General features: G+C 54.9%; 1 protein-coding gene and 1 long non-coding RNA gene across 20 annotated transcripts in view, besides 3 other annotated features; one reads left to right on the forward strand and one right to left on the reverse strand.

The window, feature by feature from the left end:
* CCDC33 (coiled-coil domain containing 33) overlaps positions 1 to 26686 on the forward strand; it is a 133474-nt gene that overhangs the window by 92055 nt on the left and 14733 nt on the right. For 15 of the 19 annotated variants that reach the window (XR_001751401.2, XM_047433141.1, XM_011522085.4 and 12 more), the window contains one exon: positions 701 to 895. Coding sequence is in view for 18 of the 19 variants with exons in the window: in XM_047433141.1 (XP_047289097.1) it covers positions 701 to 895 (195 nt within the window). In the remaining variant the exon portion in view is untranslated. Of the gene's footprint in view, positions 1 to 700; positions 896 to 1858; positions 2248 to 5604; positions 5777 to 23505; positions 23606 to 26686 lie in introns of those variants that run through there. The other 4 variants (NM_182791.4, NM_001287181.2, XM_017022631.2 and 1 more) reach the window with 3 other exon arrangements.
* Positions 5649 to 6470: an enhancer, noted in NCBI's record as "H3K4me1 hESC enhancer chr15:74593043-74593864 (GRCh37/hg19 assembly coordinates)". NCBI's record gives its function as "activates a minimal SCP1, AML or CMV promoter by ChIP-STARR-seq in naive and primed H9 embryonic stem cells {active_cell/tissue: H9 hESC(naive and primed)}" and the evidence as "EXISTENCE:reporter gene assay evidence [ECO:0000049][PMID:30033119]".
* Positions 16461 to 24639, reverse strand: CCDC33-AS1 (CCDC33 antisense RNA 1). Its single transcript, XR_007064711.1, has 2 exons — positions 24467 to 24639; positions 16461 to 16905 (listed from the first exon to the last, which is right to left on the reverse strand). It is a non-coding gene; the product is annotated as a CCDC33 antisense RNA 1 (long non-coding RNA).
* Positions 20740 to 20839: an enhancer, noted in NCBI's record as "active region_9747". NCBI's record gives its function as "activates an Ori minimal core promoter by ATAC-STARR-seq in GM12878 lymphoblastoid cells {active_cell/tissue: GM12878}" and the evidence as "EXISTENCE:reporter gene assay evidence [ECO:0000049][PMID:35858748]".
* Positions 24073 to 24983: an enhancer, noted in NCBI's record as "H3K27ac-H3K4me1 hESC enhancer chr15:74611467-74612377 (GRCh37/hg19 assembly coordinates)". NCBI's record gives its function as "activates a minimal SCP1, AML or CMV promoter by ChIP-STARR-seq in primed H9 embryonic stem cells {active_cell/tissue: H9 hESC(primed)}" and the evidence as "EXISTENCE:reporter gene assay evidence [ECO:0000049][PMID:30033119]".

Genomic DNA, 26686 nt, shown 5'->3' on the forward strand with positions numbered 1-26686 from the left:
TGATAGAGGAGATGAAATGGAAAATAGGTCTACATAGCAAAGGGTGTCAAAAGAGTGTAGGATTTTAGAAGCTGTTGTTACTGCACCAAGTGTGGGTGCCAGAGATGGCATAATTCATTTATTCTTCCACCAAAAATGTATTGAGTGCCTACAATGAGCCAGAGACTAGGGATAGACAAGGTTCCTTGCTGACATGGGACTCACATCCTAGCATGGGCATTTGCAGAAGGAAGGCAGTTAAGAAGTAAATGCATTTTTAAATTTTCTGGTAGAGTAGGTGCTATGAACACAGTAAAATGGGATAAATGAATAGAGAGTATATTGGAAGTGGGATTACTTTAGATAGAGTGGGCCTCTATCTCAAAGTGTAGGGACCCTCTGAGCAGATCACATCTGGGCTGAGACTTGAATGATAAGAAGGAGACAGCTGCGTAAGGATCCCTGAGGACCTCCAGGAAGAGAACAGCAAATGCAAAGGCCCTGAGGCAGGAGCGAGCTTGGCTTGTTGGAGGAACAGCAAGGGCCATGTATTTGGGACCCGGTGAGCAAGGGGCAGATGGTAGGAGGTGTGCACGGGCCAGCCATGCAGGGCCTCCTGAGCCATGAGGAGGAGAGGCTTGGGGTGTAGATGGTGTGCTTATGGTAGATGGGCACAGAGAAGGGGCCTGTCCTGAAGTTTCTCTGCACCTTCTCTTCTCAGAGACCAGAAAACTTCTTGACACCAAACAACAGCAAGGCTCTTCCTACCTTGGACCCCAAGATCCTGGATAAGAAGCTGAGAACCATCCAAGAGTCCTGGTCCAAGGACACAGTGAGCTCCACAATGGACTTGAGCACGTCCACTCCACGAGAAGCAGAGGAGGAACCTCTGGTGCCTGAGATGTCCCATGACACAGTGAGTGTCTCTCCCCAGGTGGGAAGGGCCGGGGCAGTGATGAGGCCATGGGAAGGGGACTTGACTGCCATCTGCAGGACTGCTTCATGCCTCAGGTGGCCAGTAGACCTCCCTCCCCTTAGGCACACTCTGCATGTGAGTTACCCCAAAGTCAAACTGCTGGGCGCTGTGGCTTCTTCGTTTGCAGGGTCTCTTCACCTTTTGAGTGGAACTCCCGTGTAATTTCTTTCAAAACAAACCCATGCAACACTTGTAAGCCAGGGTTCCATTTATGTGTGTAGGCATCAACTCAGAACTTCCTGAGGTGCATGGCCACTGGGTAGTGGGAAACACCTTTAAGAGATTCATTTTAGCTTATAACAGGAGAAACTGGGGCTCAAAAAAAGAGGACACCAGCTGGGCACGGTGGCTCACACCTGTAATCTCAGCACTTTGGGAGGCCAAGGCGGGCGGGTCACCCGAGGTCGGGAGTTCGAGACCAGCCTGACCTACATGGAAAAACCCCGTCTCTACTAAAAAAATACAAAATTAGCCAGACGTGGTGGTGCATGGCTGTAATTCCAGCTACTCGGGAGGCTGAGGCGGGAGAATCACTTGAACCTGGGAGGTGGAGGTTGCGGTGAGCCAAGATTGTGCCATTGCACTCCAGCCTGGGCAACAAGAGTGAAACTCCATCTCAAAAAATAATAATAATAATAATAAAAGAGGACACCAATTCTGGTGACATAGTCTGTGTCCTTGATCATGGGAGCTGCTGTGTTTTCCTGTTGCTGGTTGAGCAGATGCTCAGGAAGGGCTGGTGGAGGTGGCCAAAGTGACATCCTAATTTGCTGAGGAGTCAGTGCTGGGTTTCAGCCCTCGATGCAGAGAGCTAAAGAATGGGCTACCAAAGAGACAGTCCAGGGAGGTGCTACCCAGTAACCATGGCTGAATTATTGGGTAGCTTCCTCCCTTCTTCCACAGCGGGTCCCATGGGGAACGCTGCTCTGGAAGATCTTGAGAAAAGGCCCCAGACAAGGCCACCAGTCCACAGGGAAGTCCAAGCCATCCTCCTCCCAGGACCTGACCTCCTCCACCAACAGCCTCCTCATCTTCCCCTGGCACTTCTGCACCTTTCTGGAACATGTCCCATCAGACGAATAGGAAGGCTGGCTGTCTGCTGGGCATGCCCAGGGTTCTTCCACATGAGCACCCCTGCCCACCCTGGAGCAGGGCCATCCTGCTCAGGCACCACAGCACTTATGGGCCATCTTTACAATTTTCTCCCGTCACCTCTGGCCCTTGGGGAAAGAGCCCTTGGGATTAACATCCAGCTCAGTCATAAACTGCATTGAAAATAAAGAAACCCTGTCTTTGGAGATTTGGGGCAGCATGAATAAACCACTTGCTCCTGCCCTCTCCACATCCTGGCCTCGTGGTTCCCCCTTCTTGTGCCTCTAAGCAGAGGTAGTAAAGGAAAGAGAGGCCAGGTGCATGGCCTGCATCTGTAATCTCACTACTTGGGCAGGCCGAGGTGGGAGGATCGCTTGAGCCCAGAAGTTTGAGACCAGCCCTGGCAACATAATGAGATCCTATCTCTACAAAAAATTCAAAAAATTAGCTGGACTTGTTGGTGCACGTCTGTAGTCTCAGCTACTCAGGAACCTGAGGCAGGAGGATCACTTGAGCCTGGGAGGTCAAGGTTGCAGTGAGCTATGATCGTGCTACTGTACTCCAGCTTGGGTGACAGAGCAACACCCTGTCTCAAGAGAAAAACAAAATAAAAGAAAAAACAGGCCAGGAAAGAAAGAAGAGGGAAGGTGCCATCATGGGGAAAGGCACATGGGAAGGGAAGAGAAAGAAGGCATCCCTCCCTGGTCTCAGCCCTGTGGAGGGCTCAGAGCAACCTCTCCTGCTCAGCTGCCCCGGAGGGGCCAACCAGCCAACCCTCTGCCCTCCCCAAGCTAAGCCTCCACCTTCCCCCAAGGATGCAGACCTCAGCCCCTGACTCACACCACCTCTAGAAGCAGGAACCACAAGCACCTCCTGGCTGGACAAGCCTCTCACATCAGCCATCTGGGCACTGACATAGCACAACCAAGGAGGGGGAAGTACCCAGCCCTGCTCCTAGTACTGGGCATGGCAGGCAGTCCTTCGTTTGGAGTCTGCTGGGTAAAGCATCCAAGGTCTGAACTGAGGTCATTAGGTCTGAGAGTCTTTGAGAGAAACCAGATACAGATGTCTTAATACCATGGATTTGTCTGTGGGAAGTGAGACACAAATTGCTGGGGTGGGTTGGGTTGGAGTCTGCACTGTACTTATAAAACTTGATGATGATGATGATGGTGGTGGTGATGATGGTGATGATGATGGTGGAGGAGGAGCAGAGAGGAAAAAATAGAGTGGAGGAAGAAATGGCCTTTAAATATAGAATGGATCTGAGAGGTAGGCAATATAAACAATGTTTTCAACATCTGAAAGAATATTAGAATAACATGGGTAGAGGGCCAGTCTTGATTTTCTCTTAAGAATTAAACCAAAAGAGATGGGACCAGATTGCAGCTTGAGAAGTCAAGGTTAGCCATTAGGAGGAAGTGTTTTTTGGTTTTTTGTTTGTTTGTTTGTTTTCGAGATGGAGTTTCGCTCTTGTTATCCAGGCTGGAGTGCAATGGTGCGATCTCAGCTCACCACAACATCCGCCTCCCGGGTTCAAGAGATTCTCCTGCCTCAGTCTCTCAAGTAGCTGGGATTACAGGCATTCGACACCCTGGCTAATTCTGCCTTTTTTTTTTTTTTTTTTTTTTGAGACTGAGTCTCACTCTGTCACCAGCCTGGAGTGCAGTGGTACCATCTCAGCTCATTGCAACCTCCGCCTCCCGGGTTCAAGCGATTCTCCTTCCTCAGCCTCTTGAGTAGCTGGGATTACAGGCGGGCGCCACCACGCCCGGCTAATTTTTGTATTTTTAGTAGAGACGGGCTTTCACTATGTTGGCCAGGATAGTCCCAAGCTCTTAACCTTGTGATCTGCCCGCCTTGGCCTCCCAAAGTGCTGAGATTACAGACCTGAGCCACCACACCCAGCCAGGAGGAGGTGTTTTTGAGCAACAGTAACCATTGTGAGCGACAGAGGAGTAGGCAGAGAAAGAAGCAGCCTGAGCATGCTAGGCCGGGATTCTGGGAGGCTCTGAGTGATACCCCATACCCACAGACTGCAGAGGTGTTGTGAGCTGGGTCTGATGGAGAACTCACTCAAGCATGCCCACCCTGGGCATCACCCTCAGCACTCCCATCAGTGGCTCATTCACCCGGAGAGAGTGTTCCTGGTCCCTCTACCCTCCCTCTTGCTGGACACCTGGTGAGGCCTTAAGGACTGGCTGCTAGCCCTGGTTTGCTATCGGGTTAGGGCCACTCAGCCACCACCATCCAGTCCTTGAACTAAAGAACACACTGACTTACTCGCCTCTGGGCTCCAGAGCCCTGCCCAGGCCTGGTCCAAGACAGATGTTGGTAAATGCTTTTTGGGCAATGGAATAGAGAACCCCTGGCTGGACAGCAAGAGAATCAGAAAGAACCTTAGAAAGTATCTAGACTGATCCTCTCATTTTACAAAGGGTGGCAATGAGGTGGCCCAGGGATGGGCAGGAATGGGCCTGCCCAAAGCTTCCTGACATGGCAATCTCATGCCACCTTGCATCCAGCCAAGGAAATACTGGACACTACAGAGGCCTGTATGCTCAGTCAACCTGGCACCATCGGGTCCCCCAGAGACTCATAGAGTATCCAGGGCAGTGGGTATGCCCCTCTCCCTTACCCATCCCACTCTGTTCCAGGCACGCCATCCCTCCTTGTTCCTGACTCTTGACTACGTCCTTGTTTATCCTCTCACCTCTGGTTCGGTCTCCCAACTCATCATTTCTCTCTCTCACTCCCTCTCTCACTCACCTTCTCGCTCTCACTCTCTCGCTCTCCTCAGATTTACCAGGCTGGCTATTTCTACTTCTGACACTTTGCCCTAGTTGGGGCCTAGAGACCCAGCCCCCAGCCCCAGCTCCTACCCACTGGCCAGTGCCCAGAAGGATCATGGCAGGACCCAGACACACATGTTCACGTGGCCAGTAGATCCCAGTTACAGGCAGTAGAACGTGGGTGAGTAGCAACAGTGTACGGCTCCATGACAAGCACAGGTAGCCTAGCTGTGTAGCAATGGGTCACTCTTCCATAGCAACCAAACAAAATTACATAGCAATGGATGAACTCAAGCGACCATGAGGCACAGTGACAAGCAATCGAACGTGGCCGCGGAGCAGTGGAGTGTCGTTGCATAACAATAGACCCAGCCGTAGAAGCATGTCACACAGCCCTGCACCGCAGGAGGGTGCAATCACGGGAATGAGTACGGAGCACAGTGTGGAAGACGTGGGCAGACATACAGAGTAGTAGCACTGGGACACAACTGAGTAGCAATGGCACGGTCACAGTGTGTGTGGCTCCTGGACATGCGGCCAGGGAGCGGTGGCCGGCAGCAGGTCCCAGGGCTGGAGCAGCAGGCGCCAGCGACATGGCAGTGGTTGAGTTGTAGTCAAATGAAGAACCGCCTCCCTCACGCTGGGCCGTTGTCTCCGGCTGAGCCTCTTGGCCTCCCCTGATTTCAGGAGTGTGTTTGTCTATATCCAGTCTCATCATGCATTCCCCGGAGCCCAAAAAACAATTTTATCTCTGATTCCCTTCAGATCCGACTTCAGCTTAATAGGAAATTGAACATTTTCTGGAGAGAAAAGCGCTCTGGGAATAGATGAGAGTGGAGAAGAGGAGGTCTATGCCTCTCTGTGCAATGCTGCCTGCTGCCCCTGGCCCTGCCTGTCCCATCCCCATGGCTCACTAAGCCCACTGTGGCTCCCTGTCCCTGGATGTGCCCTTGATCTACCTCATTCCCAGACTGCAACCCAACCATTTCTTCTCACCTTGGAACACTTCGTTTTGATGCAGGCCTTTCAAGTTCCATTTGGTCAACATGGTACAAAACTCTGGTCCTGGGTGGGCCCATCAAGGTCAAGGTCCCATGGGTATGGTCTTGGGTCAAGTGTAGGGCCTCAGGCAGAGGTAGAGGAAGCCTTATCTCCCGTCTGAGTAGCTCAGGAAGCCATTGGGAAGAGGTGAGCCTTTAAGTGAGTGTGAAGAGTGAGGTGTTAAGGTTCATCCTGAACATGGCAACTCCCCAAATAGTCAACAGCCTGCAAGCATCTGCCCTCCACTCTCTGGGCACCCTGAGCCCATCTCACACGGAGCCAGGCCATGCCTCCTGACGCCAGGAGGGGAGCAGGTAAGGCGAGGGGGCTCTATGCCACCTCTAGATGGACCGACTTCCTCCACAAAGGGCTTCTGAAACACCTGCCATGTGCCTGGACTCCCCATTCCTCCAGCCTGTCAGAAAACCAGAACTCTCCACCCTGCCATGTGCCCAGCCCTGTGTCCAGCTGGGGCAGGGACATGGGGACAAAGAGGCCAAGGACCTCAGCTCTGAGAATTCCCCAGTGGACAGGAGCAAGCCATACCCGGGGAGACGATTAGTGGCACAGAGTAGGCACACAGTAAATATTTGGTGGGGGATGAACAGGCAAAGGAGGGGCATGGTTGGGACAATGTAGCTTTTTAACTGCCACACTTACCCAGCACTCCTGGACACACCTAGTGAGCCCTTAGTGAATGAGAGAGAGCTGGGGAGGTGGTGGATAGGGGGAGAGGCAGGCAAGGAAGTCTTCCTGGAGGAGGCAGACTATGCTTTGGATAAAGAAAGGCAGATGTGCTCATTTACTATGGAAGAATTGTGTATTCAGTGTTGTTTCCAGCACAGAAATTCAAGCACAGGGTTGCTTCCCTCCTCTTCCTGTCTCTCTCCCTGTCTCTCCTGCTCTCTCTCGCTCTCTCTCTTTTTCTCCCTCCCCCCTCTCTCTCTCCACCTCTCTCTCCTTCTCTCTCTCTCTGCCTCCTCTGTTTCCCTCCCTCCTTCTGCCTTGCTCAGAGGAGATTTGTGGCAGACCAGAGGGCCCTCATACCAGGAGATGAATAATTGACAAGGGTTGTTAAAAGATTCAGTGGAGTTTTTCCAACCTCCTTACACTGGAATAACTCATTTCTTTCATTCTGTTTTTGAAAGCCTTTCCCCCTCCCTCCACCTGTCTCCTCCACATCCCCGCCCCCTCTGAGCATACCGCTTTTGTTTCTCTTCCTTTCTTGAGTCTGCTGGACCCTAGAATGATTCGGCCTTAATCCCTCGGTTTCTCTAAATCCCCTTCCCCAGCTGTCCCCACCCCACTTGCCGTGCTCCGGAGGTGTAGGTTGACTTCAGCAGAGACAGCCCCAGATCATGAGTGCAGAGAGGAAGGAGGACCAGGGAAGCTGTGGCCTCTCCCAAGTCCCAGTGTGCCAGAGGTGGGCTCGGTCCTCAGAAAGGCAAGCCTCCCAGCACAGGGACCCCTTTCCTCGCAGGCAGGCGGAGGGGTGCTCTGGGGACGCTGGGTGACCATGTGCCTTGGTTTCTCCATCTTAGCATGCTGCTTACCCTACCCTACCTGCCTCTCAGGATCAGATGGGAGAGGTGAGGCCCCCCAGAAAGGGCGGCTGGCCGTGTAGCAGAGACACCCTGAGCCTAGTCCTTTCTGTCCGGCTGGCATGGCCCTGGGGTGACCACCCATCCCTGTCTGTCCAGGACTGACGGGTTTCCAGACTATGAGGTGTTCAGTGCTTAAACCAAGACAGTCCTAGGCAAACCTGGATGGGGGCCACCCTACATGGCACAGAAACCTCCCCTGTCCCAGGTCTGCCCCACTGGAGGTTGCCACACTCTCTACCCTGTCAGCCTCCCTCATCCACAGGGCATACTCCCCCTGCCCAGTCTGGCCCAGCTCCGTGCTGTCCATGCACTCATAGTGCTCCCACTGCTCCTGCAAGTGACCTTGACCTTCCTTCCCTTCTCTGGGCCCCAGTTCCTGCCTCTGACAGCACAGGCGGTTGGAGCAGATGTTCCTGAGTGCCCTGAGGCTCCTGCACTGTGGCTGCAGCCTTGGTCCTGCCCCCAGACCCACACCCAGGATGGGGTCTGCAGCCTGGTGAGGCCGACAGCAGAGCAGTCAGACCCGGCCTCCACTCCTCAGCACCACCTGGTGGCAGGTGATTAACTCTGAGCAGGAGTCTTTTGAGGCTGCCAGCAGCAGTCACCAGGGAAGGGACTTGGAGCACCCCTGCACACTACCCACTTTGGTGGCAACAAGCAGCAGGAACGTCAGCCTAGGGTGGTGACATTGCAAAGCCCCGGGAGCCTGGGATTGGCCCCCAGGAGCAGGAATAAGCAGCCCCCCCAGGGCCACTAGTTCAGGCACCAAGCCCAGCCTGGGAGCAGGGTCACCCAGGGTCTGGGAGTACGAGAGGGCCCAGGCCCCAGGTCCTTTGGAACCAAGAGAGGCTGAGGAACTACAAGAGAAACAGGGAGTGAGACAGAGACAGAGAGCAGAGCCAACCAGGGCCCACCCAACGGCCTCCAAACAGATGCCCTTGACTCAGTGTCCCCTTCAGGCCATCCCACACCAGCCACAAGACACGTTCCCAAAACACTGGCCACCCCAGCCTTCCTGCTGTGTCCCCTCAGTCTCCGTAGCCCCTGACTCTACTGCCCAGCGTGATTGCCCCATTTGCTGGGTTTGTGCTCTCTCCCAGTCACCTCTCCAAGCATCCCTGTTCTGTGCAGCACACACTCACGAGCTCCCGCCCAGGCCCAGCTCCCCGAAGGCAGGAAGGCTTCTCAGGGCCCCAGCCCTCCTCAGCTCCTCCCCTGCACTCCTGCAGGCCCCGAGCTGGGAGCACCGCCTGCTGACAGGGGCTGGAGGGGGTCCTACAATTAAATACTTAAGACAAGGCAACCGACCTAAGCCATGGCTGAGAACACTCGCCAGCTCTTTTCCCTTTCCTGTCCCTCCCCCAACTCTGACCTTTTTCTCTCCAATTCCTAAACACAATCACACACAGTGCTTACCAAGCATTTTAGCGAGGAAGGGAGGGAGGGAGAGGAGAAGGGTAGAAAGGAAGAAATAAGGATCACATCCCACATGTGTCTGTTACTTCCCTCTGCAGACCCCTCCTCTCACCTGCATAGCTCTTGCAGGTTTGTGTTCCATCTCCACCACTCCGAAGCTGTGTGACCTTGGATAAATCACTCCACCTCTCTGCTCCTGTCTCCTCATTGTTAAGTAGAGGGAACACTGTCACCCTGTCCACCTCTTGAGACTATGGGGAGGATTAACAAGAGAATGAGGGGCAATGTGTTGGAAACTGTAAAGGGCTGTCCACTTTGCAGGAGACTTAATAGTCACTGTGTTCCTGGGGCCCTGCGATCAAGGCGGAGAATAAAAAGGAAGCAAAAATCCCCCAGGCCTCTCCCTCTGACCCTTTCTCCGGCAGGGCTGTTCCCAGACCCCTGACCCACTTCTCCTCCCTCCTTCCCCCATCCCTCCGAGTCTCAGCGGGCCATTCTCCTCCTCCATCCATCACCTGAGACTAAAGAGATTAATAAACGAGACTCATAACTCAGCTGCTGGGATGCAGCAGATATTTACGGCTCCGTTTCAATTTGCAGAGAGATTAAGTGTTTGTCGATTTATTGTCTCTTGGTGTGTGCAAGCGGCTGAGCAAGGCCCCCTGCAGGCCAGTCCCCTCCCCCACTCCACACGCCCTGCACATGTGTGTGGGTGCCTCGCCTCCCACCCCCAGCCCCCAGCCCTGGAGCTGGCGGGGAGCCTGGTGCTGCTCTGCCAGGCAAAGCTATGAGCCAGTCCGGTGGGCCTGTCTTCCTGACCGACTTGGCCAGGTACCTAAGCTGATTTAGAGGGCCCACTCACACTCCTCCAGCCTTGTCCCTCCCCACCTGGCTAGGTAAATGTGCCCCAGATCCCAAGCTCCACGCTTCTAGAACACTCTGTCGGTACCCAAGACCCCCGAATGGGCCTGAACCTGCTTCTGCTTCTTCTTCTTCTTTTTTTTTTTTTAGACAGAGTCTTGCTCTGTCACCCAGGAGGGAGTAGTGCAATGGCGTGATCTCAACTCACTGCAACCTCCGCCTCCCAGGTTCAAGTGATTCTTCTGTTTCAGCCTCCCAAGTAGCTGGGATTACAGACACCTGCCACCATGCCCAGCTAACTTTTGTATTTTTAGTAGAGACAAGGTTTCACCATGTTGGTGAGGCTGGTCTCAAACTCCTGACCTCAAGTGATCCACCCGCCTCGCCCTCCCAAAGTGCTGGGATTACAGGCGTGAGCCACCACGCCTGGCCTAAACCTGCTTCTGAGGACTATGCAAGCTTAAATCTACACTTCTAAGGGTTGAATACTTTTGCAAGGGTGCACCCTGAGACCCAAGAAGCAACGGCTGTTTGCAGAGGGCACATGCTGGAAGCCTCCATTTCTGTTCTTGTACTGGGCACTACAGATATTAGGGGTGGGCCTGGAGAGGGGAGGCTTCCATAGAGAAAGCCCCCCAGCCTAACTGGGGAGAAGTCTGCAAAGGCCAAGGGAAGTGAGACAGCATGAAAAGGAGCATCACCCAGGGGCTAAGGGGGAAGTACTCAAACCCCAAGGATGAGCAGTGCTTCAGGAGCCAAGAAGGGGCCACATGAGCACAGGGAGCAAAAGTGTCTGGTGCCCCCAACCTCCTCAGACCCCCAGCTGTCTCTCCTTTCCCTGTTGACTTTGTATTCTGGCACAGGCACCTACTCATTCATTCATTTCTGGTACATGCACCTACTCATTCATTCATGCATTCATTCATTTGTTCGACCAGGGTTTTGAGCATCTACTCTGTGCCAAGTCTGGTTATCTCGCCCCACAGATTCCTCCACTCATTTGTGCAGCCCCAGCAGGTATGAGTTCCATTTCCACCTCCCAAGAGCTGTGTGGCCTTGAAAAAATCACTCAACCTCTCTGATCCTGTCTCTTCATTGTTAAGTAGAGGAAATACTCTCCCCGCCTCTTGAGGCTTTTCAGAGGACTAACAGGAGAGTGGATGGCAATGCACTGGAAACTGTAAAGGGCCGTCCACTTTGGCACTTTGCAGGAGGCTTATTAATAGTCGTTGTGTTCATGGGATCCCTCGAGACTGAGGGGGATGACGGAAGGCAGCACAACTCACCCAGGCCTCTCCCTCTGACCCCCTCTCCAGAAGTTCACCTCCAAGATATGTGACAGTCACATAAAGATAATTCCGTACAAGGGTCCCTGTGCTCAAGAAGTCCCAATTGAGCAGGGAGACACATCAAGAATGGCTGGAGGAGGATGTGGTCAGGACTGGGGCTCAGGGTCCTCAGGAGATTGTGGGAGCACAGAGGGGGTCTACCTAATCCTAACCCCCATCAACTCCCACCCCAGGCAGTGCACACTTTCTACAGAATGCCAGGGTAGTCTGCAGATGTCACTGTGATAAGCAAGAGAGAAAAGCCAACCAAGCATCAGTGGCGGTTAGCATGAAACCATAACAGATCTTTGATTTGTTGGTGGAAGGGAAATGAAATTCCTCTTGTTCCTGCAAGAGGAATCTGTTGATCTGTTGAGTGGGAATTACTAGTTAGTGTGTGTGTGCCTGTCTCTCTCCAGGCCTGGCCTGGGGTCTCACCAAAAGGCACTGTGGGGCCCCAGGGCTAGTCCCTTCCCTGTCTGGACCTCAGTTTCTCTATCTGTATTAATGGAGCGAATGCCTCCCTCCAGTGAGGGATGAGAAAGTCTTAGCGGTGTGGAGGAAAGAATGGATGGGATAGGTGGACTAGAGGACTGGTCAAGTCAGGGCCTGCCCTAAGTACCCAGAAGATCAGGCTCAGAGGAGATGAGAACGAGGTCACTCCGGGCAGAGGCCACCCAGAGAGAGAGAAAATTTACTGCCGAGAGAGGGTTGGGCAGGAGGAGCATCAGGAGACATGGAGTCAGTTCTGACTTGAGGAGTCAGCCTGACTGACCCCTCCCCTCCTGGGCCTCCGTCTCCCCTCCTGTGGAGTGAGGAGCCTGGTCTTGACAATTTCCTCTTTCATCCCAGCAAACAAGGCAGGCAGAGGTGGGACAGCCTCCTGGCGCTGCTCCTTAGTGAGATGGCCGGTGCTGCCAGGTCTTGCTGTCCATCCTTAATTAAATGGTGGGTGGGCGAGGCAGGAGTGGAGCACTCTCGGTAACTAAAGCCAAGATGATGAGGCCATAAATTGCTGAGGGCTTGAATCATCGATTGGTGAGGGTGAGGTGGACTATAGAACCAGGAGCGACTGGGAGAAAGAGTTGCTAACCTGGGAAATGGGGCTTGTCCCTTCTGTGCTCTGCAAGCACCAGCCCAACCTTAGTACTCATTTTAATAACACTAAGTGTTCCCATCAAGATTCACTGAGCTCGTACTCTGTACCCAGAACTTCGGTCACAATCTCATGTAATCCTCACTCCAGACTGAAAAGGAACATACAATTATCATCCCCACTTTGTGGGAGAGGAACCTGCTGATAGCACAATAACCCTCCCAGGGCCACCAGACAAGACCGAGGGGGAGTCTTGGTCCAACACAGGTTGGGGGTCTCCAGCCTAGCACTTGAGCCTTGGCCGAGCCTGGTGACTTGGAAGTCAGGAGCCTGGTGAGCTTAACTCACCATCTTCCCAGCCTATCTGGGAGGAAGAGCTGCCTCAGTTTCCTAGTAAACACCAAGACAAGCTCTGTGGCCTCAGGCCACCCCCTGCCGAGTTCCACCTGGAACATTTGAGAGTATAAGCAAGGCCTACATACCATATGTCCAAACCCCAGTAATCAAAATATAAATCAAGCAGAAGCTAGCAAACTCCTAAATATGTTCCATTCCTCTACCTCAATAAATACACCTTATGAACAACCTCAAAGAATTCTCAGCTTCCACACTGGCCCCTGGCAGTATGGCGAGAGCCACTCCCAGGCCCCCACCCCTCAACCCCACCCATCCCCTTTTCTTCTCACACAGCTCAATTTCAGTCCCACACCTATGAGACTCTGTGGGCTCTCTCGAGTGCATAAGGGTATACTGCCACCTTCAGGAGGACAGGCCCTGGAAGCAGGGGAGTGCCAGGATCCCAGTTACCCAGGGTGAGGTCTAAAGCGGGCACGGGCTCTAGGTGGGCACGTCCCCCTTGGGACCACTGACTCCTCACCCCATGGGAAGGGTTGTACCCCGAAGAGGGCCAAAGCAGGACCTTTCAACCCACGGGGCCCAGGGCTGGAGCCCCTCTTGTCCAGGGCTAAAGGCAGAACTGTCCCTCCCCCAACCCTCACCACTAGCTTGGTGACTCTATCAGGGTGCACTCCTGAGTTCAGATTAAATGTTTTTCAGTACAATCCAATTTCTTCCTGACACACGGACTAGAAAAGCCCAGTCCATGTGTGCAGACAGACAGACACACACACACACACACACACACACACATTTGGTGCTAAATATCCAATCAAGTCCGCAGATAATAGAGACCAGCCAGTTCACTCCCAGTTTAATCAGATAAAATGCTCATTCATCGGCTCCTGCCAGAGCTGCCGTCCCCTCCTTAGGGCGGAGTCGAGGGGGCGGGGAGGGCCTGTGGGGGAAGGGGCTGAGACCCGAGTGGCTTGAGCATGTGGGCTGCGCCTTTAAATCTTCAAGGAGGGGGGACAGCGTTGCCCACGGGGGACTAATTATCCTTCAGCCTTTAGCCAGCTCTTACTCAAACAGACAAAAGGGGGCTCAGCATCTCTGGTGGCACTAAGCCTCTGCAGCAGAATTTTTTTCACTCTCAGATATGCAAATCCACCTCCACAGGGTGGACCCTGGGGTTGGGCTGCAGAGGGGCTCGGGGATTTGGAAGGGCCAGGAAGAGCAATGACAGCTGGACCCTCTCAGAGGACTAGTTTGGGACTGGAGGCATCTCACTCTTCCTCCTCAGGCTGGGTAGGGAGCCATTCAGTAGGGAGCTGCCACGCTGGTAGGGAGGGTCCTGTGGAGGCCAAGATGAAGACCTCACCCTCCTGCCTTCTCCTGTATGTGGGTGGGGGGGCTCCTGTGGAGGGCCAGTGGGCTCACTCAGAGAGCTGGCTCAGGATCTGGGAGCTGACCGTCCAGATGGGGCCCTCCTGCCTACCTCAGCCTTCCTCCTCCTAAGACACAGCCACCAGGTGACCTGTCCCAAGCCCAAATCTAGACATGCTACCCCCCGCCCTGAACCCATGCATTGTTCCCTTGCCTGCAACAGGAGCCCCTCAGCCTGATGGGCCCTGGGGCTTCTGAAGCCCCTGCCTCAAGCCTTTACCTGAACCCAGAATATTCTACCCATGCTCAATGGCAGTGGTGCCTCCTCCCAGCTCCAGGCCTGTGTTCCCGGCTCACTCCACCTTGTACCCCTCGCCCACCTCCACACCAGGTGCCTGGCGTGCAGTGGGTGCTCAGTAAGTGTGTGCTCACTGAATGCACAGAATGCCCTTCCTGAGCAGCTTGGTGGACCAGGGGTGGTCTGGATCACAGAGGTGTTTACCTCCTACTCGGCTCCCAGCCAGCACCTACAGGAACCTCAGTCTCTTTAGCTGGGAAAGGGGGACAGTGCTAGCCCTTATCCCCAGGCTGGCTGTGAAAACCTCACAGTGCCTGGAGCGGCTTCTGTGAGCCATGAAGAGCTTCTGGCGCCTTTTTTTCCTACAGTGGGGAGTGAAGAGTACAGTGTAGGAGAGTGCAGAGGGTCTGGGAACAAGCTTCCATCTCTCTCGGTCCCTCCAAGACCCACATCTTACACCACTATTGGCCACTCCTTCAGGGAATCTATTTATCCACTACAAATGGATCTGTGCCCCACCCGTTCCAGACCCCCCAAGTCCTCCACCAGCCATCTCAACAGAACAGCCTGGACTTTAAGTATGAGGGGAACTTAAAAACTCTGGGAGAAGCTAGCGCAGTGGCTCACACCTGTAATCCCAGCACTTTGGGAGGCTGAGGCAGGAGGATCACTTGAGACCAGGAGCTTGAGACCAGCCTAGGTAACATAGCGAGATGCCGTCTCCACAAAATTTTTTTAAAAAATTAACCAAGCATGGTGACACGTGCCTGTAATACTAGCTACTTGGGAGACTGAGGTGGGAGAATTGCTTGAGCCTAAGAGGTTGAGGCTGCGGGCAGTGAGCCATGTGCCCGCCACTGCACTCCAGCCCGGATGACAGAGTGAGAACCTGACTCAAACAAAATAAAAACAAAAACAACTCTGGGAAGATGGTTAGGAGGCAGGACTGGAGATGTGCTTGGTGCAGAAGGTCTGGCTAATCAGAATTTGAATTCTGAGGCCGGGCACAATGGCTCATGCCTGTAATCCCAGCACTTTGGAAGGCCGAGGCGGGCAGATCACGAGGTCAAGAGATTGAGACCATCCTGAACAACATGGTGAAACCCCGTTTCTACTAAAAATACAAAAATCAGCTGAGCGTGATGGTGCATGCCTGTAATCCCAGCTACTTGAGAGGCTGAAGCAGGAAAATAGCTTGAACCCAGGAGACAGAGGTTGCAGTGAGCCGAGATCAAGCCACTGCACTCTAGCCTGGGCGACAGAGGAGACTCCATCTCAAAAAAAAAAAAAAAAAAGAAATTTGAATTTTGAGACCGACTCTGAGGGGCCTGAGGTGGTCAGGGGGCATCCTGAGAGAGCCAGCAGGGAGGGTACCCGCCAGCAGCGAGAGTGCTGCCCCCAGGAAGCCCCCTCCCTTCATTGCCACCTGCATCTGTGAGGTCTGGGCCCTGGATTTCCATTACCTGAGCAGTGGGCAAGGCTGAGCAGGCTGTAGAGAAGGTTCCCATGGGGGACTCTCAGGGATGGGGAGAGTGAGGTGTGAGAGGAACTGAGGCCAAAAGAGGCTGGGTGACAGGCAGGGGAGGTGGGGGGCTCTGAAAGGACCAACTGCCTTGAGGCTCAAGCCTCAAGAGGCAAAGCTGAACACAGGGATTACTGGGGTTTTGATGGCTGAAGCACTTTGTGAAGCTCTGGGGTGGCCTGGAGCCTGGCAGCAGTGAGGTGGTTTTCCGCAACACAGGGCTGGGGAGGAGGCTTGTGGCCTAGGCTGGAGGCAGGACCGTGATCTGCCTGGACAGGGCGCACGGGGCCTGTAGCACAGGCCTGGAGGCAGGACGGGTGGTCTCACCCCACCTCTGCTCTCCTGTGACACTGAGCTCCCATCACCCTGGTCCCTTCCCCTACCCATGGTCCCTCCCAAGGCTAAAGATGGTCTAGGCCTCCTTGGATCCCCCAAGAGCCCCAAATGTCCAGACAGGGCTCCTTCCCCCAGGGAGAGATGTGGCAGGTGCCCCCAGCATCTCTCCCCTCCACACCCCCTACCCCAGTGTGTTCTCTCCTGGCCTGGGTGAGGACAACAAATGGGACACAGTGGGCACATGCTTCGCAAAAATAATGAGAGGGAAGAATGTGAAAATGAGAGCCTAGGATTCAGGCCTGGAGAGCACAGTCATCTAAACAGACGAGGCTCTAATAGCAGGATCTCAACCCCTCCAGCTGAAAACGACCAGGAACACACATGCAGTTTAACAAAGTTGGAGTTATTCTGGGTTTATTGACTCGTTGTAGTAAGGGGGATGCAACCATGGGAGTTGCGGGGCATCCCAGAAAGAGTGTGTGGGAAAGGACTTCACAGATTCAAGCTGGTGTTAGGGGATTTGGGAAAGGGTTTGAGGAAACAGGCTTTGCTCTGGGTTAGATGACAGCGGGAGGCTGGCTTAGAATCAGCATTCTAAGAGTCGGTATCATAGGAGTTCTCATCGAGAAGGCAGGAATGATGGTCACTAATAAAGAAGCAGCAGTCACTCATATTAGCCAGGAAAGGGAGTTTGGTCATTTTTGTGGTTTGGACAATGACTATGTTTTATCTGTGTTCACACACTTTACAGAGTGGTCAGAGAGTGGTGTTGTGAATGACACCAGGGTCCAGCTGTGGCCGCCAGCTCCTGGCCACCAGGGGCCGCTTTTCTTTCTTGGTAGCTTCAGACAGTGACCGAGAAGAGATGAAAGGGACAGATGTTACTCACACAGCACATGCCAGGCACTGTGCTCAACACTAGACAGACCTTGCTCACGTAATCTTCACCACAGCCCTCTCCTCATTGTACAGATGAGGAAACTGAGGTTCAGAGAGGGAAGGTGCCCATCAGAGTCCAGAAGGACTGGCAAAACTAGAATGTAAACCCAGCTTATGTTCCCCTTGTTCCAAAGTCCCTTTCACCCCCTTGCCCTTGCCTAGAGGCTGAGCCTCTGCTCGTTCCTCGGAGCCACGTGGTCCTGAATAGTGTCCCTTGGACACCCCCGCTAGGCACATCTTCCTGAAGGGGTTCAGCCTGTCCATGGCAGGCCAGCCGCAGTGTCAGCAGCCGCCCCAGCCCAGGAGGGTCCCCCGTGCCTAGAGGTGTGAAGGGTAATGAGGCCCCGTAATTAAGGTTTCTGAAGACATGGCTGGGAGATTTATAGACAGGCTTTGTCAATAATTGTGCTACCGGCTGCAGATCCAGCGAGACATCGGTAAGTGCTCGTTACAGCTTCTCCCTGCTCCCTGCCCTGCCCCCGCACCACCCCTCCTGAGCCATCAGCCTGCCTGTTCACAGCGCCTATGTACACAGGCTTCGCTCAATTAATTTGCACTTGTTGGCGCCATCTGTTCTTTTCATGTGTCCTTATCAGGAGTGTGTGCGTCCTGCCTCCTGCTCAGATGTGACAGTGCAACCCTCCTCATACATATAGGGGCTTCCTGGGCAGGCTCACATCTCCCCTCTCAGACTGGGCTCCTCAGGGTGGGACACTGTCTCCCCCCTCAGTCTAGGACCCCTGAAGGCAAGGCCAAGTCTTCATCTTCCTTCACCTCCCCCTCAACACCCACAGCCTCTCTCTGCTGAGCCAAGCTTGGCCTGGACCCTAGCAAAACCTTCTGAGTCTGACCCCACCAGGCAGGGCCTCAGCCCTCCAGAGGAAGCCCCCAGACCCCAAACCAAACAATGCCCTGGAAGGCTGGCTGCCTCTGGGTGCTGGGAGGTAGGGTGTTTGTTCTGATCCCCACTCTGGCTCCCATAGCCTGAGCTTTGGCAGGTTCTTGTTACGAGAACAGTGACATCTTTGAGTCACAGGGGTGGGAAGGGGCTAAGAAGCCACTTGGAAGTCTCTGTTTCCCTTGAGCAGCATTGGTTAAGGGTGGTACAGGGGCCAAGGCTTGGACAGCTCCTAGAGTGGGGTGGGTCATGGCCTGGTGGCTCCAGGATGCCAGGGCAGGTGGCCCACCCAGATAACTGAGAAAAGGCAGCACCTCAAGGATGCTTTCCCTTGGCTCTCTCCCCATCCCGAGGTTTTGGGCAGCCAACATCCCAGCCTACTCTTCTCTGGGTCATTCTGTCTTCCAGAAGGCCTCTCAGTCCCTTCCAACCCCAGCACAGATTTCTTTCTTTCTTTCTTTCTTTTTTTTTTTTTTTTTTTTTGAGACAGAGTCTCACTCTGTCATCCAGGCTGGAGTACAGTGGCGCGATCTCAGCTCACTGCAACCTCCGCCTCCCCGGGTTCAAGCGATTCTCCTGCCTCAGCCTCCCAAGTGTCTGGGATTACTGGTGCTGGCCGCGATGCTCCGCTAATTTTTATGTTTTTGGTAGAGACGGGGTTTCGCCATATTGGCCAGGATGGTCTCGAACACCTGACCTCAGGTGATTAGCCCAGCACAGATTTCTAACCCCGGAGGGCTATGAATGCTGAGCTGGCCCTGCCACAGAAGTGCTAGGCAACTTCTTACCCTGTCTGGGCTCTGGGTCCTGCATAGCACATTGGATTTGTTTAGAATGCAACCAGACCTTATTCTGGGAGGGTCACAAGCATGCTTGGTGCCAGCATCCAGGCCCAGCCCAGTCCACTTTGCCTGCCTATAACAGGCTTGACAGCTGGGCCTTGGACTTACATCCAAGGTCCCATGACTGAACCCTGCAGCCGCTCCAGTCTCATCTCCTACCAGCCCCTCCTTGCCGCGTGTCCTGTCTGCACTCCCACGGTGTTCCAGGCTGCTGCTCACCTCCACACCTGTGCTCCTGCTGTTCCCTGTGCTAGGACTGTGTCTCCTCCTTATGCCTGTATCACCTGACAAACTCCTACTCATCCTTCAAAACCCATCTCCCGCTCTGACATACCCTCCAATACACCCTTGCCTGCACCCCAGGGTGAGGAGGGGGCTGGCTGGGGGGCTCCCCCGCTACTGCATTTGCCATACTGATTTACTATGCCACACTGCCTGCTCTCACATCGACTAGAATACAAGCTACTTGGGGACAGAGACCCCAAGCCTTGGCCACATCTGTGTCTCCAGTGCCCACCACAGGGCCTGGCCAAGTGGGCCTGCCAAAGAGTATATCCTGAACTGGGAGGACCTCAGTCCTTGGCCTGGGTGGGGGAAAGGCAGTGCTCACCCCTCCCCTAGAGATGGAAGGAGACACACTCTTGCCACCCTGGCTGCCCACTTATAGGGTCATGGCGACCTCAAGGCAGACAGTGGATTCAGTTAGGGCAAAATGCAAACACACATTTCAGGGGTGGGGGGCACAGAGCAGGGGGCTTTAACCAAGCTCTCTGCCCACCCTCCCCCTGCCAGCCCCCTAGTCTGGACCCATCCCAGGGCCCCTCTGTGAACATCACTGGCATCATGACGAGCCCTTTCCTGCAGACAGCTCCAAGCTGTGGTGGAGCACCTGGGGTGGGGATTTGGGGGTTAGGAGGGGTACAGTTCCATTTGTATTTCAGGCCCAGCAGCATTCCTGCCAGGAGAGAGTTTTAGAAATGGAAATGGAGGGCTGTGTTCCCTCAGCACATGTCCCGCCTCCGGGAGCTGGCATCTCTGCTCTCACATGGCCCATGTGCAGGGGCACAGAACCCCAGGTGCCAACGAGCCCCCTCCTAGGCTGCAGCAGAAGCCCACAGCCAGGCAGGGCCCAGAGAAGTCTGACAGCCTGCCAAAAGCAACAGCAAAAACCACCTCAGCCCAGGAGCCTCCCATCCCCCACCCCCGTGTGTCTGATGCGGTGGTTTTATTGCGGGCAGTGAGGGCATTCATGACAGCCTCAGAATGTATGAGCCAGACCTGGAGCCAGCAGGGGTAAGGGGAGCAGAGCAACTGTGCGACTCCAGGAGATGGGATGTGGGCTCAGTGGAGGCCGTTGCAGGGGACCAGGGAGGCATCTGGACCTTCTGGCTAGGCCAGCTTCAAGCTCGAGTTGCGGGGAGGCCTCTCCTACCAGCAGCTAAGCATGGCTATCAACATCCTGCGTGCCCCACCCTGAGTTCAGCTGAGCCTCTGGCCCTGCAATAGGGAGATCCCAGCCCTGATGAGTGATGAAGCATGAGCCCTGCCCTTGCGGACTCCAAGGCCAAGGCCAGTTGAGGACAGGAGAGCCAGCCCCAGGGTCCGGAGTGGTGGTGAAGACTCTGGAACCAGCTCACCCACTCCAAGAACTTCCCTAGCCTCCTCATACCTCACTCTCCTCCTCTGTGGAATGGACATGGAGAAGGCTACTTCATCAGGTGACTGGTGGTGAAGTTAGGCCGATCTATTTAAGGTAGTTAGAACAGTGCCCAGCCTATGGTGAGCTCTTGTTACCTGCCTGGTGCAGGCTCTAGAAATTCAGAAAGGAAGCCAAGAAGAGTAGGAAAGTCTTTTGTTAGGAGGTGGGCTTTGCAGAATGGATCTGCAGAGATGGGGGAAGGCGACTCTGTCCTGTAGGTGGGGGAACTGCGTGAGCAAAGGCACAGAGGCCGGATGCACTGAACCTGTTTGTTCCCCCAGAGGTTCTGAGGCCACAGGAAGTGGCTGGCGTGGGAGTGGCTGGTCCAAGGGGAGCTGCACTATTAAGTGTGGAGGGGGAGGGGGACAGGAGCAGGACCACAGGGACCTTGACCGCCAAGCTGGGGGAAGGAAGTGTGAATAAAGCCCCAATGCCACCAGGCATCTCTGTACTGCCCTCCTCTCCCTCCCCACTCCAGCCAGGCACCTGCCCTGTTTCCTGGGACCCCCTGAAGGAGGACATCCCTTAGCTCCACAAAGAGCCCTGCCCTAGTCTTCACATAGTAATTGTCTTGTGTGTCTCACCCAGTGATAAGGGGTGGGCAAGGGGCAGGGGTGGGGGCTCTTGAGCACCCGTTTTATAGATGAAATGCCTGAGACCAGGCGGGAGCCCCTGGGGCCTCCCTGGCTTCATGGGGCAGGCTCAAGTCCCTCAAGGGCGCGGCTTCCCTCCCTCTCAGCAGCCCACACTTGTTCTATGTCCGGTGATGGGTCCCTGAGGGTCCGCTGGGGCGCCCCTCCAGCCTCCCGCCAGAGCAGGGCTGGAAGACTGCCATGTCTGGGGCCAGGCTGAGCTCAGTGCATGCCTCTGCGTAGTGCATTATTGATGGGGCTTCTAATTGTGCGTTTCCCAAAGTCTACAGGCTTTTGATGAAAAATTCATGGCACGCCCGAGGATGGGAGCAGACTCAATCGATTGGCGCACAGCAGGCAGGGGAGGACAGGGCCCCTTGCAGGGAGGGGTGGTGAAGCCTGGTCTGGGAGGCTTCTTGCCCCAGGATCTTGGGGATAGCAGGGGGCACACACCCATTTCCCTGGTGGGGAGGCTGAGGGGCAGGAGCAGGAAGATTTAAGGCCCACATCTCAGTGCCAGCCAGTGACTGGTGCCATCCAGGGAGGATGGCCGACTCCACCACGGGCCTCCCTTTCATTTCCCTGGAGGGGTGCTAGACCCTCCAGAGCCCCTCATGAGAGTTGCACAGAGGAGGGAGTAATATTTCTGGAGCCACTCTTATATGCCAGACGCTGCTCGGACGTGTACACTCGCAGCCTCATTTAATCCCCAACAGCGTTATGAGATGGGCACAGTGATGCACTCCATTTTACAGAGGAGAAAACAGGCTTAGAGAGGTTAAGTGACCTGTCCAAAGTCACACAGCTGCTTAGTAACAGAGCCCACTATCTTTCCACTTCACCAGGCCCACTCAAATAAGAACTAATAGGAGTATGGGGATTGTCTTGTGCCACTCCCCTACTTGTCCCTATTGTTCAGAGGAAGTGTCCCCATTAAGAAAAAGTGGAGTGGGCCAGGTGCAGTGGCTCATGCCTGTAATCCCAGCATTTTGGGAGGCTGAGGCAGGTGGATCACGAGGTCAGGAGATCGAGAGCATCCTGGCTAACACGGTGAAACCCAGTCTCTACTAAAAAAATACAAGAAATTAGCCAGGCATGGTGGCAGGCACCTGTAGTCCCAGCTACTCGGGAGGCTGAGGCAGGAGAATGGCATGAACCCGGGAGGCGGAGCTTGCAGTGAGCCCAGATCGCGCCACTGTACTCCAGCCTGGGAGACAGAGCAAGAGACAGAGCCAGACTCCATTTCAAAAAAAGGAAAAAAGAAAAAGAGTAAGTGAAACATGAGGCCTGCAAATGAGAAAAGGAAGCGCCCTCCACAACACCGGCAGAAGCCAGAGGCCCCCCAACCCTGTGCAGAGTGCTGAGCTGGGCACCCAGCAGCAGGGGTGGAGATTTTGAAACGGGTAGAGGTGACTGTCTTGGCTTGTCCAGTCAGGGATTATTATTGTGCCACCATTGAGGCCCCAAAGAACACTGTAAGTCATCTATTCATTCATTAAACAAGTAAACAAATATTTATGAAGTCCCAGTGCTGGTCAGCATCTTGCTAGGTCCAGGTGGAGGGCCCTATCATGAAAGCCTTTGGGACCAAGCTTGTCTGGGACAGACAGGCTGAACCCAGTTCAGCTGGGGAAAGGCAGGCAGGCCCCTCCATGCCCCAGGAGGGGGTCTCCGCAACCCAGGCTGAAGCCAGTTATATCAGACATTCTGCCTTCATGACCAGGGCCGTTTCTAGGTGGCGGGCTGGCTTGTTTGGGTTTGTTTTTTTTTTTTTTTTTTTTTTTGCTTCCCAGTGAGTTTCTTTCAAAAACATCCACCCATGTCTCCGCTGAACTAAAGAGAAAGGAATTTGTCCAGAGCATCAGGAAAGCAGCCAGAGGAAGTCCCCAGGGACCAGGCGTGGGGCCCTAAGCCACACTGCAGCTGCAGGGAGGAGAGTGAGCCCAGCTTGTGCTGCTGCGGGGTGGGGAGGACTCCTGAGGGGACAAGGGGGAATCAGGGAGCAGAGAGACTAAGGGGGAGGGGGAGGAGGAGACTCAGGGACAGAGGGTGAGGCTCAGTGGGAGAGAAAGGGGAGACAGGGTATGGGGGTAACCAGGAGGCAGAGAAAGTGGAGAAGAGCGGAGGGAGTTGAGGGGGAGGCAGGAACCAAGGTGTAGCCAAGGGCAGGTGAGGGAGGAGGGACTCTGAGCCTGGGCCAGGGGAGTCAGAAGGCCGGAGCCCTGAAGGGCCCCACAGCCCTCCCCGGCCCTGCTGTCTCCATACAATTCTGTGGCCAAGGAGTGAACCTTGCATGATTTCAGCCACCCCACCCAGACACCCCCCACCCTGGAACAAAGGGGAAGTGGCCCCATGGGCCTGCCTGCTTCCAGCTCAGGGCTGGGCTTGGTCACCAGGCAGGCACTTGTTGTAGCAACAGTCCCTGGGGACCCATCCTGGGGAACAGGACTGCTAGCAGTAAAGATGGGGGAGCCAGGGCCCCCATCCCCTCCAGCCCCCAAGGCTGCCCCAGGCCTCATTGACAGCTTCTCTGTAAGTCGCCCCCTCGCCCACTGGTTCTGGGAAGATGGGTTGGCTCGCCTAGCAGCAGGTGTGTTGGGGTGTGTTGCCCAGCAACCAGTAGAGGTGTTCCCAGAGCCTCTTAAGTGGGAGGCAGGGTGGAGAGGACCAGGGCTTTGGCCCTTAGATGCCCGTGGTCACAGGAATCTTTTGCAAGGCCCCTGGCTCCAGCCTAGGCCACCTGAGCCCACACAGTAATCCAGAGAGGGAGGACAGAAGGGCTTCTGGGAAAATCCCTTGAAGTGATCATTGCCTCCTGCTAGTCTGGGCCCTACCTCTGGTGTCTTGGAGGTCCAGCCTTGGATCCTAGAAAGTGGCTGAGCCTGGGCTAGCCTGGGAAGGCTTGCTGGTAGTGCATGTGTGGTGCCGAGCTGTGAGGAGGAGTGGGTGTGGCAGATGGGGCATCCAGTGGAAGCAGCAGCTCAGACTGGGGGCTGGGGCCGCCCCAGTAAGTGCTAACCCTTCTGGTTTGGGCCCCAGTTGCCAAAGCATTTCTTCTTCCCCTTTGGCAAGAATCCCAGAGGACAACCCCAACAAGGGTCATTCCCCACAGGGTGCAGATGAGCAGGCACGGAGTGGGCAAGGGCCTCGCTTCGGGTCGTTCGACAGCTGTGGGCAGAGGCTGGATCAGAACCCAAGGTTCTGGGTTCCAGCCAGGGCTCTTCCCCCACCCAATGTGGGGCATTCCTGAGGCAGCAAAGCTCTAACCAGGGAGGATTCTGGCAGGAGGTGACCAGTGGGGAAGGGTTCTTTGAGGAAGAGTGAACAGGGCCTGTGAGACCAGGACTGGGGCCTGCCCCTCACCACCTGCTGAATGCCCAGCCCTGTACTCACCTGGGCTGAGAGCAAGGGCTGGCCCCAATCTGCTGTCAGCAGAGGCTGGACTCTGGCCCAATACCCAAGGAGTCATGACTGATGGCCTGTCTTGGGATAGCCCGGGGGTCTTCCTGGAGGAGGAGGGCCCAGAATGGAGCCTTGAGGGTCAGGCAGCGTTCAGAAAAGCCTAGGAGGGGAAGTAGGAATGGGAAGCCAGCATCTTCCAGGAAGCCCCGCCCCCACCCCAGCCCAGCCGGTCTCCATTGTCCCAGCCAGGCCCAATTAGCACCTGGCTCCTGCAGGGGCCAATTAGACAGGGGCTGAGGTCAGCTGCCGGCCAAGGCCCTGCCACCCCTCCAAGCTTCACCAAGCCAAGCACAAAAGCTTTCTAGGCATCATCTCTGCTGCAGCAGGAAGGGAAAGAAAGAACAGAAGAAAGGGAAAATTCACTCCTTTTGTTTCTTTGCCATAACCTTGGGCTGAACAAAGAAGCAACTGCCTCCCCTCCCTGGGAGGGCAGCTTCTGTGGAGCAGGAAGTCTGTTTTAAACAGCAATTTGCACAGATTTGTTGTGGTTGGGAGGCCCAGATGACATTCGAGGGGAACCAGGAGCAGAGACCTGGGGTGAGCAGGGCCCTGGTTCTAGAAACTCCTGTGACTCCCCACTGCGCTCTGTTCAGAAGCAGAGCTTCCGGGCCTGGCTGGTGCAAACAGGTGGGCCTGCTCCAGCTCTCTAGCCAGACAGACCTGTGTACTTTGCTGCCTCCAAAGAGCCCAGCCCACATGGGCCTCCACACCTTCCCTCAGTGTTCCCCACCTCTGAAGTCCCACCCAATCCAGTCAAATCTCACCTGCACCTCAAAGGCCCAGCTCCACCCCTCCCCTGCAGGATCCCCTCCCCAACCCTACCCCTGGCCTTGACTTGCACTCCTAGGGTGTGAGCCATGTCCCACACAAGGCCTGCCTCCCACCGGGAACTCTCTGAGTGCAGGGTCTCCCCACCCCCAACAGAGCTGAGCTTAGGGGTACAAACAGCAGCTGCCAGGCCCTGCTGGGGAGCAGGTGGAAGGGAGATATATGCCAGAGTCCAAAATGGGGTTTGGGAAGCTGGGGCCACCCTGGGGTGGTGACAGGTGGAGAAGGGGACCCACCAGTGCCATTGCCTCCTCCAGGCTCCCACCCCCAGGGCAATGCCACATCGCACAGACCACCCTGCCCTCACCTCCCTAACCCTGCCCTCTGTGTCTCAGGAGCGCAGCCTCTCCCACTGGGCTATGCCCTTGCCGCTTCGATATCCCACCCAGCCAATGAGGCTCTCAGTCCTCCCTCGCCTGCCCTCTGGTGGTGATGAGGTTCCAGAGTGAATGGAGGGAAAGAAAGAAGCTTGTCCTCATGGCCAGTGGGTTCTATTGTCCTTCAGTGGCTGGGAAGGGAGCTTGGCTGGGTGGGCAGTGGCAAAGAACTGAGAGGCCAGGGTCCCAGTGGCATTGGCCCGTGTGTTTCTGGGAGTAAGGGGACTTCTTAGCCATGGTGAGCCCCAACCCCTGGGAAAACACTAGTCCCTTTCAGCAAATTTTCAGGCACAACCTCCATCCTCCCCGACTTGTCCCTGAGACGGCCCCTCAGAACTGGGCTTTTGCTCCCTGGTCTCTGGAACTGGAGGAGGCCAGCATCAATTTGCCAGCTGAATTTTCCATTGTATTTTAAAGAAATGTGGTTAATTCGCTTTATTTTATTTTATCTTATTTTATTTATTTATTTATTTTTGAGATGGAGTCTTGCTCTGTTGCCCAGGCTGGAGTTCAGAGGCACGATCTCAGCTCAGTGCAACCTCCGCCCCACCCCCGCCTGCCCCCCAGTTCAAGCGATTCTCCCACCTCATCCTCCCAAGTAGCTGGGATTACAGGCATCCACCACCATGCCTGGCTAATTTTTGTATTTTTAGTAGAGATGGGGTTTCACCATGTTGGCCAGGCTGGTCTCAAACTGCTGACCTCAGGTGATCCACCTCCCTTAGCCTCCCAAAGTGCTGAGATTACAGGCATGAGCCACTGTGCCCGGTGTACTTTTTGTATTTTTAGTAGAGAGGGGGTTTCACTGTGTTGGCTAGGCTGGTCTTGAACTCCTGACCGTGAGTGATCCGCCCCCCTCGGCTCCCAAAGTGCTGGGATTACAGGCGTGAACCACCGCACCGGGCCAAGAAATGTGGTTAATTCCCTTTAAAAGTATTGGGAAATT

Source organism: Homo sapiens, chromosome 15 (genome assembly GCF_000001405.40).
Source record: "Homo sapiens chromosome 15, GRCh38.p14 Primary Assembly".
Taxonomy (NCBI): Eukaryota; Metazoa; Chordata; class Mammalia; order Primates; family Hominidae; genus Homo; species Homo sapiens.